A 12,931-nucleotide genomic window follows, 5' to 3' on the forward strand; every position below is an offset into this window, starting at 1 on the left:
CTCTTCCTCAGTTCCGGTCCCTGGCATCCACAGATCGCTGGAGGATGAGAAGAGCTTTTTATTAGAAGCATCTGCAGGGTGGGGGGTCTGCCCAGATGAAGGATGCTCATAATGGGAGAGCAATCCAGTGCTCCCCATGGACACCTGGGGTGTGTGTAAGGCGGCCTCTGGCCCCAAGATCAAAAGCTGGAAGTGGCTGGGCCCTTCCCTGGGAGGCCTGGGCTGGTTTCCAGCATGGCAAGTGCAGCGCTGCCAGGCCAGCCCCGAGACAGGCCCAGACACACAGCACAGACTGCAGGGAACAGAGGCCGCTGGCATAACAGGCCACCCAGGAGCCTGAGGAGTATAGGGAGGGACCCTCAGTGCCTCAGTCCTTACCCTCAGGGCCCCTTGGGGCTCAGGAGCGATAAGTGGGATTCCAAAGGTTCTGAGGTTGGAGGCCCCTGGATTTGAGGGGCTTGAGGCCAGAGGACAGCCAGGGGCCAAGAGGGCTACCTCCCCAGCTTTTCAACTTCTCTGGACTCAGTTCCTGGGGCTGTGGGGGTCTTAGGCACTCCAAAGATCTGTTCCCCAGCCCAGAAGTCCCTTCCTCCTCTGGGGTGGGCCCCAGCTCCATTGGCAGGAGTGAATTCAGCACATCCGGGTCCTGTAATGGAAGAGTCAGGGAGCAGGGGGGCATAGAGTTTTCTGGCCCTCCCTCCTGACCCACAAGACCAGGATGTTAGATTAGGTCGGGGGCACACCTGAGTGCAGTACTGCAGACGCTCCAAGATGCTGGCAAAGCTAGGGCGGAGCTCAGGCTCGTGCTGCCAACACTGGGTCATGATGCGGTACCTGGGGAGAGGCAGGAGTTCATGCCCACCCATGGTTGTGAAGGACCTCCCTTCCCGGGCAGCACTCAACTCACACAGGCCCTGGGCAGCCCCTAGGAGGGTCCATCCGGCCTCCTCCAACGACGAAGTCCAGCACCTCCTGGTTGGTGCGCCCAGGATAGGGCATGTAGCCCAGTGAGAAGATCTCCCAGAGCAGCACCCCAAAAGACCTGCATCACAAGTGGGGGAACCAAGTGAGGCCCGTCAGGTGTAGCCTCCCCTCACATGAGGTGGCTGGAAAGGACAGGATTAGCCTCAGGGGAGGGGAACAGTGGGGAAGGGGAGGGGAAGGGTGTTATCACCAGGAATCTGTCTTGGATGTGAAGATGCCCTCCAGGAAGGCCTCTGGGGGCATCCACTTGACTGGGAGCAAGGCCCGGTCCCCCCTGCGGTAATAACTGGCCCTACAGGAGGGAGGAGGTGAATGATGAGTTGTTCACCACCAAGGTGCGGGGAAAACCCCCTTGGAGCAAGAGCCTTCCCACCTCCCAAGTCCCGCACCGGTAGATATCTCGTGCCATCCCAAAGTCCCCAATCTTGGCCACTCGGCTGGGTCCAGCGCAGCTCAGCAGGCAGTTCCGGGCGGCAATATCCCTACAGAGTAGGCAAAAAAAATCACTGCCAGAATCTAGAAGTTCTTGCTCTTCCTGATCTATTTCCTTAAAAGCTGTGTGGAAGGGCTGTTCCTTGGGGAGGGAGTTGGGATGGGGGTCCCCTGAGCCAGGACTGCTCCTAACCTGTGGATGAAGTGATTTTCCTCCAGGTAGTGGCAGCCCTGGGCTATGTCCTGGGCCAGTTGCAGCAGGTCCCGCATGACCAGAGGTGATGGCTGGCCCTGGGTCAGGCAGAGGGGGCATCAGTCCATGTAGGTCTCAGACACATGGACAGGGTCTTTAGAGGGGCCTGGGGGGGCTAAGACAAGGGTCTCACCAGGTGTGGCCGACTGTGCCTCAGGAAACTCTTCATGTCCCCTCCAGACATCAGTTCCAGCAGAATGAGGCGAGGGGTGGCCCTGAGGCTGAGCCCCACACACCGCACAATGTTCTGATGGCGAAACTTGCTGAGTGGGGTGGGGGACATATCCCGTTACCAGGAGGGAGACGGAAACCATGTTTTAGGCTCCACAAAGCTGGAGAGGCCCTCTGTGTCCCCTGACTTGCTACCTCAGCCTCAGGGTGAAGAGAAACTGTTCCCGGGCATTCCCCTCCCGCCTTCCAGCCCTGCCCCTGGTCCCAGGTGCACCTGATGATGAGGGCCTCCATGAGGAAATCCAGCTCATCCTGAGGCGAGCAGAGTTCTGGCAGGGTCTGGGGAGGAAAAGGGCACAGTTTCTGAGCTGCCCTGCACGCTTCAGGAGAGGGGGTTAACCCTAGCTCTAGTCATTGTCCTTCCCTTCAGGGTGTTCCGCTCTCCTACCCCCAGCCAGAAGTCCCACTCCTCTCACCTTGATAGCTACCTGCAGGGGACTGGAGTCCCCAGGAAGGCCAATTACCAGTCCCTCATACACCTCCCCAAAGGCACCATGGCCCAGGGCTCTGCAGGAAGACACGTTGGAAGGGAGTGGGCAGGCGGCCTGGAGAAGAGTCCTAGAGAGTCTAGTACCCCCTTTACCTCCCCTGCCCCTGCCATATGCCCAGCTGACCCTATATAGACTCTCTCCATACCATGGCATGTCCCCAGGTAGAAGCCCTGCAAGGGTGGTGCTCACTGGCATAGAGCCAGGGCAAAAAAGAGGGCAGATGCGGGCCAGAGTCAAGGTGGGAGTGCATGATGAGGACTTCCCTGGTCCCTGCAGACGCCCTGGGCGGGAGGCAATCCCTGGGCTCCAAGAGTCATGATTTTTTTTCTTTTTTAAACGAAGTCTCACTCTGTCATGCAGGCTGGAGTGCAATAGCGCGATCTCGGCTCACTGCAACCTCTGCCTCTCGGGTTCAAGTGATTCTCCTGCCTCAGTCTCCCGAGTAGCTGGGACTACAGGCAAGCGCCACAACGCCCAGCTATTTTTTGTGTTTTTAGTAGACACAGGGTTTCACCATGTTGGCCAGGCTGGTCTCGAACCCCTGACCTCAGGTGATCCACCTGCCTTGGCCTCCCAAAGTGCTGAGATTACAGGCGCCAGATCATATTTTTTTTTTATTGAGACAGAGTCTCACTCTGTCGCCCTGGCTGGAGTGCAATGGCGCAATCTCGGCTCACCACAACCTCCGCCTCCCAGGTTCAAGTGATTCTTCTGCCTCAGCCTCCCACGTAGCTGGGATTACAGGCATGCGCCACCATGCCCAGCTAATTTTGTATTTTTAGTAGAGATGGGGTTTCTCCATGTTGGTCAGGCTGGTCTCGAACTCCCGACCTCAGGTGACCTGCCTGCCTCGACCTCCCAAAGTTCTGGGATTACAGGTGTGAGCCACCACGCCCAGCTGAGAGATCATATTCTAAGAACTGGGACGGAGAGGTGACATTGAGCAAGTTACTTCCCCTTCTGGAGCTTCTCAGGGCCTCCCTCTCCCTTACACAAGGGATGTGGGCCAGATTTTTTCTGGGACTTATAATTCACTACAGCAGGGAGAGAATCAGAGGTGGGGATTCAGAGTGCATAGGTTCTCAGAAGGAGGCAGAAGACTTACCTGAGCAGAGTAACATTGGCTGGGGAAACCTCGGTGACACCTGGTGGCAGAGGCCAGGACTGGGCCGGGCCAAGCCCCACCTGGCAATAATAGGGATTGGGGGCTGTCCTGATGGCAGAGGTTCGAAGCTTGCTCAGCTCAAGCTCAGGGCTCGGCAGCCTCATCTCCTGCAGGCCCTGCCACTTCTTCTGCTTCACTGGGGGTGGGAAGAATAACGGCACACCCTCCACCTGCCCATCAACTCTCCCTCCCCCACCTGCCCAGGACACCCCTCCAGATGCTCATTAAGGTAAACGTTTTCCCCAGGCCTCCCCAGCTCCTTCCTATCTTAGAATCCCAGAGGAGTCTACCACGGCTCTGCTGCGGTGAGTGGTCTTGAAGTCAGCCCCGGGACCCCGCAGAAACCCATCCCAGCTCACTGGAGAGGAGCAGCCTTGAATCAACTGTGCCTGCTAGACGCTTCGTACCCAGAATCAGGACCCCACACACCATAAGGAGGCTCAGTGTTGAGGTTGCCACCACAGCCACCATCAGAACCAGAGGGCCTGGGGGCTTGTGCAGGTCTAGGGAGAAAGAGAGACACCTCCAGTGGGAAGGTCTTCTCTGTTCCTTTACCCTCAAGTTTTACCCACGCTTCAAGACTCAGCTCAAGTGTTAATTTTTCCATGATGCCTTCCCCCATTATCCTGGGCAAAAGCAACCTCTCCCTCTTGAACACCCCTAAAGCACTTTATACCTCCCACAACAATCGTCACTTGAGATATACATTTACATAGCTATATCTAAACATCCTCCCACACTGGACGACAGGCCTCTGAAAGGCACTGTGCACCGATGAATCTCCAATCCCCTGCCCAGCACCCACCACAGGGCCTGGCACACAGCAAATCTCTATACCATCTTTCCCAGTGGCCTACTGCTCCTCCCAGTCTGTGACCCCAGGAGTCCAGACCTTGGGCAAAGGTAGGACATACCCATGCAGGTGACGTTATCCACAGCTAGCTCCATGCCTTCTGGGCACAGGCATTCAGCCAGCTGGAGCTCTGCCTGCCATTGGCAGTCTCTCAAAGGGCAGTGACTGCAGTTGAGGTGCCTTCGGATCTCTACCTCTCCGTGGTTCTCGGTGACTGTGAGTAAAAGAACTGATATGATATGGTGTGGTAGGGCTGGGATATAGTAAATACATGCCTTTGGCTGGGTACAGTGGCACACGCCTATAATCATTGCACTTTGGGAGGCCGTGGTGAGCGGATCACCGGAGGTCAGAAGTTCAAGACCAGCCTGGCCAACCCCGCCTCTACTAAAAATACAAAATTAGCCGGGTGTGGTGGCGCACGCCTGCAATCCCAGCTACTCCAGCACTGAGGCTGCAGAATCACTTGAACCCGGGAGGCGGAGGTTGCAGTGACCCAAGATCGCACCACTGCACTCCAGCCTGGGTGACAGAGCGAGACTCTGTCTCAAAAATAAAAATAAATAAATAAATAAATAAATAAATAAATAAATAAATACATGCCTTTTCCAGCCACATGGTTAATTCTAGCCCAGGACTTTAGAGCAAAGAGCAGCACCAAGCTTACAAGGGTGGTGAGAGAAGCTGGGGGACTTCTGTCAAGCCTGCACACTCCCAGGTATTTGAAGCGAATTCATAGCAAGGGGGTACTTGAAAAGCACGCAGCATGCCCTGCATTGCCATCCAGCACGACTGGCAGCCCACTTTCCTTTTTTTTAAGACAGAGTTTTGCTCTTGTCGCCCAGGCTGGAGTGCAATGGCATGATGACAGCCCACTTTTCAAATGACCCTATGCTATGCAAGAATCCTGTGCTATGCAAGGTTATTCACAGTGCAGGTGGCTCTTCAGTGCAGTGCAGGAGTGGGCTCAGGGACTGCGGAAGAAGTCCAGGCCAGGCTCAGAGGTGGGGTTGGGGCCAATACCTGCCAGAGGCTGCAGGAAGAGCTCGCTGCTGGGGTGTATGAAGGATACTCCATCTTCCCCATCAGCCCAGAGGTTGTCAGTCTCTGAAGCGTCGCCCCCTGGAAGTGGAGAGTGATGGAGAGTTTGACTACAAAAATGGGGGATGGGGGAGAAGCTGGAATCTCCCGGTGGAAATCCCAGTGTGGCCCTCTCTTCTCCAGCATCATGATGCAAATGCTGTCTGTTCACAAGTGGGAGTGAAGGAGGTGAGGAGGGGGTAATCAGCTGGAGCCTGAAGGCCTCGCTGAGGCTGGCTGGGATGCCTCCTGCCTGCCTGAGCCCCTCCTGTCCCATGTCCTCACAGTCCCTTTCTGTGAGAATGTAGATCATGTGTGTATGTATGAGCAGTACAGCCCAGACAGGCACAAAGGCATTTACACTAGTTATTTGATCAAAACACAGATGACTGGGACTCTCCCTTACAGTTTCTGATTCAGTATGTTAGAGAAGGGCTGAGAATTCGCATTTCTTTTTAAAAATTAATTTTTAATTAAAAATAAAAATTCAGGGCCAGGTGTGGTGGCTCACGCCTGTAATCCCAGCACTTTGGGAGGCCGACATGGGCGGATTACGAGGTCAGGAGTCCGAGACTAGCCTGACCAACATGGTGAAACCCCATCTCTACTAAAAATACAAAAATTAGCCGGGCATGGTGGCGCATGCCTATAATCCCAGCTACTCAGGAGGCTGAGGCAGGAGAATTGCTTGAACCCGGGAGGCGGAGGTTGCAGTGAGCTGAGATTTGTACTACTGCACTCCAGCCTGGGCAACAGAGCCAGACTCCATCTAAAAAAAAAATTCATATATTTATTGTATACAGCATGATGTTTTGAAATATGTACACACTGTGCAATGGCTAATGCAAACCAATATATACACCACCTCACATGCTTATTTTCTGTGGTAAGAACACCTATAATCTACGCTCTTACCAATTTTCTTTTCTTTTTTTTTGAGACAGAGTCTTGCTCTGTCACCCAGGCTGGAGTGCAGTGGCACGATCTTGGCTCACTGCAACCTCCGCCTCCCGGGTTCAAGCGATTTTCCTGTCTCAGCTTCCCGAGTAGCTGGGACTACAGGCATATGCCACCACGCCCGGCTAATTTTTGTATTTTTAGTACAGATGGGGGTTTCACCATATTGGCCAGGCTGGCCTCAAACTCCTGACCTCAAGATCCACCCGCCTCCGCCGCCCAAAGTGTTGAGATTACAGGCGTGAGCCACCGCGCCCCGCCTCTCTTAGCGATTTTCAAGAATACATCGTCATTAACTACAGTCACCATGTAGTACAGTAGATTCTGGAAGGTATTCCTCCTATTTAACTGCCATTTTGCATTGTTTTGACCAGCATCTCCCCAACCTTCCCCCAACTCCCAGGATAATTTCCATTGTTTTTTTTTTAATCTTTGAGACAGAATTTCCCTCTTGTCGCCCAGGCTGAAGTGCAATGGAGTGATCTCGGCTCACTGCAACCTCCGCCTCCCAGGTTCAAGCAATTCTCCTGCCTCAGCCTCCAGAGTAGCTGGGATTACAGGCTCCCGCCACCACGCCCGGCTAATTTTTGTATTTTTAGTACAGACAGGGTTTCACAGGTTGGCCAGACTGGTCTCGAACTGGTGACCTCAGGTGATCCACCTGCCTTGGCCTCCCAGAGTGCTAGAATTACAGGCGTGAGCCACCAGGCCCAGCTGATAATGTGCATTTCGAACAACTTAGGTTGTGGGGATATTACCTGTTCCTGGACCACACTTTGAGAACCACTGACTTAACCCAATCCTGCCTTTCTGCCCCTTTGCTCAGCTTGCTCACTCGGCCAGCTCTAAGTTCTGAAGACTGCTGCAGAACAAGGCAGGGACCTGCTGTGATGGGAAAGATCCTGGATTAAACGGAAATCTAGGGAGTCCTGTCTGCATGCTGATTTGCAGTGTATTTGACCTCCTTTTCTAAGAGCTCCTGCTTTTTGTTTGGAGCTGCTGAGCAGGGCTTAATGCCTCTCCCACACCTATCCTCCCGAGGGCTCCGGCCTGTACTTAGGTTCTAACATCACCTCACCCTCGGGCCTGCTCAGCTGCCCTCTCCAACGGTGCACCTACCCCTGTAGCCGCCGCCGCCTCCGCCCGCAGTGCAGGCCCCGCCGCCGCCCCCGAAGCCGCCGGCCGCGGCCCAGCCAAGGGTCGCCCAAGCCTCGGAGCAGCCCTGGCCGCCCTCCGCCCCCTCCTGCAGTGAGCGGCCGGCCTGCGGAGAGGGAGCCCGCGACGTCCAGCCGCCCCCACCACCTGCAGAGCGACAGCAGGAAGGTTGGCAGCCACACGGGGAGCACGCCCGCCTCTCCCCGCGGCCCGCGCCCTCACCTGCCGCCCCGCCTCTCCCGCCGCTCCCGGGCGCCTCCGAGCGGTTCTCCAGTTTCTCGGGGGAGGCCTGAGTCCGGCCTCGGTCCCGCGGCCTCAGGTAGGCCCGACCGCCGCCTCCGGCCGCCACCAGCAACGGTTCCAGCTCGCCAGCGCGCACCTGTGGGGCCAGCGGCGTGTTCCAGGAAGCGCCCTCCAGCTGTCCAGGGGCACTGCCACTGGGAGAGGGCTCCCGCCCAGGGGGCCTGGATAAGGGCAGGGGCCCCCAGCCCAGCCCAGGCCAGCCCAGCCCAGCGCAGGGATAGGGGGACCCCAAGGGACGGACGGAGAGCCGGTGCGTGAGCGCCCCTGGGGAGAGGATTGGGACCCCAACGCTGAGCGCCGAAGGGAGCACGTACCCGGAAAACGTAGGTGGCGCCCCCGCCACCCCCGCCACCTCCCGCCCAGCGCCGCGACCCCGGGACCCCTTCGCTCCCATCCATCGCCGCGTGCTCTTCAACGGCTCGAGACTCCCCGAGGCAGACGAGCTGGCTCTCCGGGCTACCCTGCGGGCAGCGGGGGAGGGAATCGGCGGGGCCCGGGAGCCTCCCCTCGCTGTGCTGGTGACCCGGCACCGAGGAAAGCACGCTCCCCCGGCCCCCAGGCAGCCCTCGCCCCCGGCGCCGGCGCCGCCCCATCCCCACTGGCTGCGCTCACTCCGGGACAGGCGTCCTCTCCCTGCTGCCCCACCAGGATGTACAGCGACTCCCCGAGACCGAGGGAGAAGATTGCTGAGACGAAGACGCCATGCGCCCGCGACAGGTGGTTCTTGGCGCCTTTGCCGCCCGCGGCTCCGTAGGCTGAGATCCTGCGGGGAACGGACGGTGAGTCCCCGGCCTTCGGTGCTCAGGCCGGCCGCTCCGGGCAGAAGTTGGCGACAGAGGAGGCTCCAGAATTATTTTTTATCTGAGGGACTTGGAGGCTGCAATCGACTCTGACGGGATGGGAAGGGTAGGTTTGCACACCGAAAAATCAGATATTACACTTATTTCAGGAGGGTTCGTGGAAATGTGGGGAGGCTCAAGCACCCCTTGGCGCCGCCCTGGTTGGGGGCCTTCCGCTCGGTGTAAGAGGTTCCGGGTAAGGGCTAACTCGGTGGCGACTACTGCCACCTTGAAGGGCACTCAAGGTGGACCTCCCCGCGGAATAGTCCAAGACGCAAGTCGGTGCGCACGTGGACTTCGTTACCCTGAGGGTGAAACCTCCAACTAGCAGGTCACTGTCCACCCTACCTCCGCCGTGCACTTACAGATACTGGCCAGGGCCCGGCACGCGCCACAGCTGCACGCCTCTCAGCTGCCCGGCGGCCCCCACGGTCACCACCACGCTGGTCCCCGCGTACGCCCCGTCACATTGTGTCTGTGTGGGCCCATGCCGGCCGCTGGCCCCGCAGGTAGAAAACAGCCAAGACCCCTCGGTGCCTGAGAGCAAGGAGCGAGGCAAGGGTCGTCGAGCCCCTGGCTGGGCCAGAGGGGTCTGGTATGGTGAGCGAAAGAGGAAGGAGGCGTCTAAAGCTCACCCGGAGAATTCAGCGGGGAGGCTGGCTCCAAGATACTAGGCGGGGCGCTGACTTTCGGGTCCCGGGGGCTGGGACTTGCCAGCGGCAGGGGCGAGGACCGCAGAAAAGTCTCCTGGGACCCCGGGCTAGAGCAGAGAATGGCGCCTGAAAGGTGTTGGGAGAAGGCGCAGGACGTTAAGGCGGGTGGAAATAGGATATGAAAGAAAGAGAGAACCCCGCAACAGCTGCCCTTGCGGTCGCGGCCACACCCGTCACCCGGCCCAGCCGCGCTCTCAGCCTGGAAGCCACTACCCGACTCCGGTCGCAGAAGCCCCGCGGGTGCGCGCTGATAGGTCTGCCAGTTTCTCTCCTCGAGCGCCTTTCCCAGTGAATAACTTAGGGGCCGCAATGAATTTGGTCCTGCAGCCTCCCCAATGCTTTCCTCAACTTAGATTGGTGGCCCCGCCCCAAGGCGGTGCTGAGACCCCAAAGAATGTTCCTCCTTCCCAAGCTGCGTGATCCAGACTCTGGGATTCGCACGCACTTGGCGCTTCTCGGCCCGCACTCCAGAAGCACGGACCGGAGAAATTTGGCTGTGAGAGTTCGAGGCCTCTGGAGGAACCACTGACACCTGGCCTGTTGACCGGCCACCCCCAAGCCTAGGAAAGTGCCTCAGGCTGGACGGTCCCCTGACCGCCAGATAGCACTTACCCGCGGCTCCGAACCACACCAGCAGCTGTCCCCAGCAGCCCATCCCTGTTGGGTCCACCCGGCAACAAAAGCCCTTGCGGTCGCGGCCACACCCCTGTCAACCTAAAGTTGACAGCTCATTTTGCCACGGCAGCCCTGGCCACCACTTACAGGGGTGTGCTGCCGCTGGCGAGACACTCCCCGGACCTAAAGCTGGTCTGGCCACGCCCACCTCAGACCCCAGGACGCCAGAGGAGGAAAGGGAGGGGCGTGTGGGCAGCGAGGTCCCTACGCTTCCGGGAGGAGCCTTAAGGAGTCCCCACCCAGGGGTTCTAGTTTCCAGCCGTCAGATGTGCCGCAGCCTGCTGGGAGCTCCGGTAGGTTTGAGGCCGGAGAGGAGGTGCCCCACGCTTAAAGTGGGAGCCACACCTCGGACACCAGGTGGGGGCTTCCAGGTTCCTGAGGACAGGAGCAGTGGAGTGTGCACTTCATTTGTGGCAGTGGTGGTGGTGGTGAGTGTGTGGCATGCGTCACCACACGTGGGAAGTACTCTAAACTGCTCCAAGTAAGGCCTCATTACCTGCCATTACTTGTGCCTTTTAGTGGTGCCTTTGTGACTGCAAGGCTGAACCTCATTGCTACTCCCAGAAACCTGGATCTCTGTGTTTGCCTCATATAATTCCGTTGCCTGTGTTACCCCTGTGCACAGCCTCTCACTGTGATGGGGTGAAAGACTGGACCAGACGTTAGAAGATCCGAGTGTTTTTAGTAGCACTGAAGGTCAATAGATGATAGGTAGGTAGACCGATCGATCGATTGATCTTGAGCACTAGTACTGGCACCTCTGGTCAATGGGTGATGTAGCACAGGCCACAACTGCCCTGAGAGTTTCCCCACCACCTGCAAAATCATATGAAGGGAAATTGCTCTGTAAGGTACCCTACAAATGTGGGAGCCACTCCCTTCAGGTAGTTTTGTGTCTTGAGTCTTCGATCATTTGCTTAAATGATCATTTGCCGGGTGCGGTGGTTCATGCCTGTAATCCTAGCACTTTGGGAGGCTGAGGCGGGCAGATCACCTGAGGTCAGGAGTTCGAGACTAGCTAGACCATCATGGCAAAATCCCGTCTCTACTAAAAATACAAAATCAGACACACGTGGTAGCGCACGCCTGTAATCCCAGCTACTCTGGAGGCTGAGGCAGGAGAATGGCTTGAACCTGGGAGGCAGAGGTTGCAGAGACGAGATCGCACCATTGCACTCCAGCCTGGGCAACAAGAGCAAAGCCCCATCTCAAAAAAAAAAAAAAAAAAAAAATCCTAACTTGAAAGTCTGAGACCTATGTTTAATACAAAATACTTCAAAAGAGAAGTTATAGTAGTTAGCTACTTGGTAAAGTCTGAGTATAATTCAAGGTGTAAACAGAACAGTGATTTTGTAAAAAGTCTGGTCTCAGCCAGGCGTGGTGGCTTACACCTGTAATCCCAGCACTTTGGGAGGCCAAGGGGACGGTGGGGGTGGGGTGGATCACAAGGTCAGGAGTTCAAGACCAGCCTGGCTAAGATGGTGAAACCCCGTCTCTACTAAAAATACAAAAATTAGCCGTGCGTGGTGGCAGGTGCCTGTAATCCCAGCTACTTGGGAGGCTGAGGCAGAGAATTGCTTGAACCTGGAAGGCAGAGGTTGCAGTGAGCCGAGATTGCACCACTACACTCCAGCCTGGGTGACAGAGTGAGACTCCATCTCAAAAAAAACAAAAAACAAAAAAACCCTGGTCTCTATGCCCTACTTAACACTAGATATCACACTATGAGATCACAGAATTTACCTTGCAAAGTCTCTTTAAGCCACTGCTCTTCAAATTGTGGTTGTGTGGTTTGTTCTGAACATCAGCATCAGTATTACCTGGGAACTTGTTAGAAATGCAGATTCTTGGGTTTCACCCCAGATGTACTGAATCAGCAGCTTCTGGTGGTAGGACCCAGTGATCTGTTTTAAAATATCCTCCAGATGATTTTTGTCACAAAGTTTGAGAATCATTGGTATTTGCTGATACAGTAGTTGCTTAATAAAACCTATTGGGGCCACATGCTGTGGCTCACACTTATAATCCCAGCACTTTAGGAGGCTGAGGTGGGCGGATTGCCTGAGCTTAGGAGTCTGAGACCACCCTGGGCAACATGGCAAAACACCGCTTCTAATAAAAATACAAAAAACTAGCCCGGTGTGGTGGTGCATGCCTGTAGCCCCTGCTACTCGGGAGGCTGAGGCATGAGAATCACTTGAGCCTCAGAAACGGAGGTTGCAGTGAGCCAAGATCATGCCACTACACTCTGGCTTGGGCTACAGAGTAAGACTCTGTCTCAAAAAAAAAAAAGAAAAAAAGGCTGGGCCCAGTGGCTCATGCCTGTAATACCAGCACTTTTGAAGGCTGAGGCGGGCGGATCATGAGGTCAGGAGTTCGAGTTCAAGACCAGCCTGGCCAACATGGCAAAACCCCATCTCTACTAAAAATACAAAAATTAGCCAGGCGTGGTGGCACGCGCCTGTAATCCCAGCTACTTGGGAGGCTGAGGCAGGAGAATGGCTTGAACTAGGGAGGGGGAGGTTGTGGTGAGCTGAGATTGCCCCACTGCACTCCAGCCTGGGCAACAGAGCAAGACTTCGTGTCAAAAAAAAAAAAAAAAAAACCCAAAAAAACCTATTGGATAATTCTGTGTTCAGCAGCTCCATTTATGAAGACTGGGTTCTCTCTACCTACTGACAGGGCTAGGCCTTGGCACACTGCTCTGACTCTGGTTACTTGCAAACACAATAAGTAATCCACACAGCAAAAGACAGTCTAAGAAAGCCTAAAGTTTAGAATTCAGACCAAAGAACAATGT

General features: G+C 56.0%; 1 protein-coding gene across 14 annotated transcripts, besides 2 other annotated features; it reads right to left on the bottom strand.

Moving 5' to 3' along the window:
- Positions 1–38: 38 nt before the first annotated feature.
- Positions 39–10,229, bottom strand: LTK (leukocyte receptor tyrosine kinase). 14 transcript variants are annotated; one of them, NM_002344.6, is made up of 20 exons: positions 10,069–10,229; positions 9,379–9,522; positions 9,109–9,280; positions 8,517–8,667; positions 8,219–8,365; positions 7,824–7,980; positions 7,566–7,748; positions 5,433–5,531; positions 4,471–4,623; positions 3,964–4,059; positions 3,497–3,692; positions 2,317–2,407; positions 2,115–2,179; positions 1,803–1,932; positions 1,610–1,707; positions 1,374–1,466; positions 1,175–1,276; positions 908–1,042; positions 744–834; positions 39–646 (listed from the first exon to the last, which is right to left on the bottom strand). In NM_002344.6, the coding sequence occupies exons 1-20, from the start codon at positions 10,109–10,111 to the stop codon at positions 398–400; spliced, it is 2,595 nt and encodes an 864-aa protein (NP_002335.2). In that variant the 5' UTR covers positions 10,112–10,229; the 3' UTR covers positions 39–397. The 14 variants fall into 14 exon arrangements, 12 of the variants coding, with proteins under 12 accessions (NP_002335.2, NP_996844.1, XP_047288455.1 ...); NM_206961.4 differs by lacking the exon at positions 7,566–7,748; XM_047432499.1 differs by lacking the exon at positions 7,566–7,748 and having other exon boundaries at positions 3,916–4,059.
- Positions 9,061–9,808: an enhancer, noted in NCBI's record as "H3K27ac-H3K4me1 hESC enhancer chr15:41804857-41805604 (GRCh37/hg19 assembly coordinates)". NCBI's record gives its function as "activates a minimal SCP1, AML or CMV promoter by ChIP-STARR-seq in naive H9 embryonic stem cells {active_cell/tissue: H9 hESC(naive)}" and the evidence as "EXISTENCE:reporter gene assay evidence [ECO:0000049][PMID:30033119]".
- Positions 9,515–9,594: a silencer, noted in NCBI's record as "silent region_6362". NCBI's record gives its function as "represses an Ori minimal core promoter by ATAC-STARR-seq in GM12878 lymphoblastoid cells {active_cell/tissue: GM12878}" and the evidence as "EXISTENCE:reporter gene assay evidence [ECO:0000049][PMID:35858748]".
- Positions 10,230–12,931: the final 2,702 nt, after the last annotated feature.

Source organism: Homo sapiens, chromosome 15 (assembly GCF_000001405.40).
Source record: "Homo sapiens chromosome 15, GRCh38.p14 Primary Assembly".
NCBI lineage: Eukaryota > Metazoa > Chordata > Mammalia > Primates > Hominidae > Homo > Homo sapiens.

Coding starts and splice junctions, on each gene's coding strand:
- LTK (NM_002344.6), bottom strand. CDS start 10,111: ATGGGCTGCTGGGGACAGCTGCTGGTGTGGTTCGGAGCCGCGG. Junction 4,060..4,470: donor GGATAACGTCACCTGCATGG/GTATGTCCTACC, acceptor CTTTCTCCCTAG/ACCTGCACAAGCCCCCAGGC. Junction 835..907: donor AGGGGCTGCCCAGGGCCTGT/GTGAGTTGAGTG, acceptor GCCTCTCCCCAG/GTACCGCATCATGACCCAGT.